Source organism: Homo sapiens, chromosome 3, assembly GCF_000001405.40.
Source record: "Homo sapiens chromosome 3, GRCh38.p14 Primary Assembly".
Classification (NCBI taxonomy): domain Eukaryota; kingdom Metazoa; phylum Chordata; class Mammalia; order Primates; family Hominidae; genus Homo; species Homo sapiens.
The window spans coordinates 29,612,036-29,616,135 of record NC_000003.12 but is presented as its reverse complement, the minus strand read 5'-3'; the positions used below and the strand labels follow the sequence as shown (position 1 = coordinate 29,616,135).

The following is a 4,100-nucleotide window of genomic DNA, read 5'->3' as shown; positions in this document are numbered from 1 at the left end:
CAGAAAACTAGAGGAAAGGAGAACTGGCTCAAATTTTCTGTACTTTTCTCCTGTAACCACCCCTCATTTCCTCCTTGAGCTGTCTCCCTGTCATGTGAACATGGTCGTCAACGAGTGGCTTCTATAATTGCTCAGACTATCTTTCCCTCAACTGAATTCCTTCAGTTCCCTTAGCCCTAAATTAAAAAGTCTACATAGCAAGAACTTCTATTCCTCATTTTGAAAATTTTTATTTCCTCTCATCATGTTATGTCTCTTAACATTAAAACAAACCAAAAGTAAAGACATAAGAGAGATGTTTTATTTACATGAGTGATACAAGAAAATAAAAATTGAATTTAGTTATGAGCTTGCCATCTTCTGCTGAATATCTCTGGGTCACTTAGGAAATGGAATTCAAAATTATGGAACTCTATATTCGTTGCTAAAGTTTACCACAGCTATGTTGCCCAGGCTGATCTCAAATTTTTGGACTCAAGTAGTCTTTTTACCTCAGCACCCCAAAGCGCTGTAATTAATTAAAACAACAAAATCTGATTTAAAATACATCTTTTTATTGTATTTTATTTATGATATATGAAAAAATTGTTTATGTGAAGCATCATTTTTCTGGTTTGATCGTTTTAAACAATCATTTTATGTGTGTGTGTGTGTGTGTGTGTGTGCTAACTGTAGTCCAAGTCCTTCATATAGATAATCTCATTAAATTTTTTGGAAAAAATGCCTATGGTATAGATTTTATTAACATCCTATTAATATGAGGAAAGTTAAGTTCAGAGGTAGTCTTAAGATTCATGATCACAGACAGGAGACCTGAACCCAAGTATTCTAATTCTAAGACATGAGCAGCTCTCATCTTCCACAGTTGTTTGAAAGATCTTTAATTGCTTTTGATTTGTATAGCAGGAAGGAGAATCCAGTCATGGAATATTATGGTGGTAATTGCTTCCAACTGGAACCAGTTATCAAAATGTGGCAGGAAAATCTGGCCTGGTGAAGAAAGAGAAGGTGGCGAAGCTGACTCAGTTCAAGTTCAAGATCTGCTATTAATGTGCTGTCACTGAACACAAATCATTACATTTCCCTGAGCTTCAGTTTTGTTTTTCAAATTGGAATAATTGGATAATTAGATCTCTAAAGCATACATCATCAGTAGAAAATGAGCAACTTCTCATTTGGCCTAACACTTTGAGTGGGAAAATAAACTCATTTATGTATAGTGATATTCTACTACTCCCTTATAGAGTAAACAGTTACGTAAATGCAAGTCATTTTGATTTTTCACAGAATAGGATCCCTTTAAAATAGATCTATATCAAGTCTCATCCACAATTATTTTCTCACAGCTCTGTATTATTTGACTGACACACTTTGAAAACATAGTTTCCAGAGATCTCACATATTTATTTTATATTTATCTCTTTAACAAGCTAGAATTTATACTGATATATGAGATAAGGCTATTAGCAAATTTAATTTAATTTTTCTACAGTTTTCAACCAGTTGTTCCCGTGCTAAATAGTCCATCCTTCTCCCATTGATTTATTGTATCAACTTAATAAATTTTTATTTTATTTTTGTTTCATAATATGTATACATTGTGGAATGGCTAAACAAAGCTAATTAATATATGCATTGCCTCACATATTTATCATTTTGTGGTGAGAACATTTCAAATCTACTCTTCCAGCAATTTTCAAGTATATAATAAATTGTTATTAACAATAATCATCATGTTGTACAATAGATAACTAGAACTTATTTCTCTTGTCAATAAAATTTTGCGTTCTTTGACCACCGCCTTTCTAATTCCTGTCCACCCTCCTTCAGCCTTTTGCGACCATCATTCTACTCTCTGCTCTTATGCTTTTTCTGATTCCACATATAAGTGAGATCATGCAGTATTTGTTTTTCTGTGCCTGGCTTATTTCACTTAATGTATTGTCCTCCAGGTTCATCCATGTTGCAAATTACAAGATTCCTTTCTTTTTTAAGGCTGAATAGTATTCCACTGTGTATATACACTGCATTTTCTTTATCCATTCATCCATTGATGAACATTTAGGTTGATTCTGTATCTTGGCTATTGGGAATAATGCTGCAACGAACATGAGCAGTTATCTCTTTCACATACTGATTTTATTTCCTTTAGATATATACTCAGCAGCGGGATTGCTGGATCACATGGTAGTTCAATTTTTAATTTTTCAAAAAATCTTTATAATGTTTTCCATAAAGATTGTACTAATTTACTTTTCTACCAGTAGTGTACAGGGTTCTTTTTTCTTCACATTCTCTCCAAAACTTGCAGAATAGCCATTCTGACAGGTATGAGGTGATATCACATTATGATTTTAATTTTCACTTCTCTGGTGATTAGTGATGTTGAGCATTTTTTTAATATACCTGTTGGCCATTTATGTGTCTTCTTTTGAGAAATGCCTATTCAGGTCCTTTTCCCATTTTTCAATTGATTATTTATTTTCTTACTATTGAGTTGTTTGAGCTTCTTATATATTTTGGATTGAGTGACACTCCTTTGCTGATATTCCATATATTTTAAATAATGCTATTTTATCATAAAGTATGAGCACAACCACAAGGCATTTCTCAAAAGACAAACAAATATTCTGTGTTTCAACTGAGCCAGGCTAATTAGTAGGAAATGTAATTATTGCTCATCAGGACTGGCTATAGGAAAATTGTGTGACCCATTGCAAAATGAACATGAGGGTCCATCAAAAAGCATTCATGTGATGATCATGTCATCAAAAAGATGAGCGATAACAAGTGTTGGAGAGGATGTGCAGAAAAAAGAACACCTGCACATGGTTAGGGAGAATGTCAATTAGGACAGCCATTATGGAAAATAGTATGGAGATTCCTCAAAAAATTAAAAACAGAACTAACATATGATCCGGCAATCTCACCACTGGGTATATATCCAAAGGAAATGAAATCAGTATGTTAAAGATGCACTCTCATGTTCATTGCAGTATTATTACATTAAAAAAATTATTAAGTATTTCAAGATGAAAACAATGAAGCATTGTTCATGTGTGGGACCCTACTGAGCATGGAGCTCTGTCATACACACACGAATGCAGCCCTGGTGCTAATAAGGCAAGGCAGATAGAGAAGAACATGAAATAAGCTAAGCTTGATCCAAATTCCTTATTTCATGTCCTTAAAAATTAATTACAATAATTATAAGACTAATATGATACCTATGCAATTTTAAAATAGCATATTAAGGTTGTGAAAATTGTCATTTGTAATATTTCTTTCCGACTTTAATGAAGTTGTATGTTTGGAATATAATTCTCCACTGAAGCTTTGGTTTATGATGTGTGACTACTGGCCAAAAAGGCAAAAGCAATCATGTGTTACTAATTAAGCCTGATTTCATAAACTCCATAGTGGCCTCTTCTATCTTGGTGCTTCATTCATAACCATTTATTCTAAAAAGGGCCTTAAAGGAGCAGTTCTCAAAACATCTCCCTTACATGGCTACTTTTTCATCTTGGTGGTAGAAGAAAAACTTAGCACAAATTTTGTAGAATGTTTGTCATTAACCACCAATAATGTAAAGGCATATTCCCTTAGACCCACCTCTATGCATTTATCCTACACATACAGTTTTATAAAAGCACAGTCATGTACAAACAAAGATGCTACTAAAACATTTCACATGAAGCAGAGGATTGGGAAAAATTGATATTCATTAATACAGGGCTCATAATTAAATTATGACATATCTATAAACTAAGATTCTGTATAGTGATTACAAATAAACCTTTATATATAGTAGCATGACAACATGTCCAAGATATATGTCAAAAGGCAAGTTGCAGACCAGTATCTACAGGTATACATTTGTATAAATATGAAAATATATATATGTGCAATCACTATTTACATATATATGCTTATTCTCTTGATTTAAATGAATATTATGTTGTTATTCATAATAACAATCAATAGTTAACTTTGGTCGAATACTTCTTCAGTAAAGTCGGTGCTCTTCTAAGCTAGATTCTCACAGCAACCCTATGACATAGATATTATAATTTTCTTCATTACAAACAAAAAAATTGAGG

The 4,100-nt window shown here is 32.7% G+C and overlaps 1 protein-coding gene across 12 annotated transcripts in view; it reads right to left on the bottom strand.

The window, feature by feature from the left end:
- Positions 1–4,100, bottom strand: part of RBMS3 (RNA binding motif single stranded interacting protein 3) — a 729,325-nt gene that overhangs the window by 394,260 nt on the left and 330,965 nt on the right. The window lies entirely within an intron of this gene.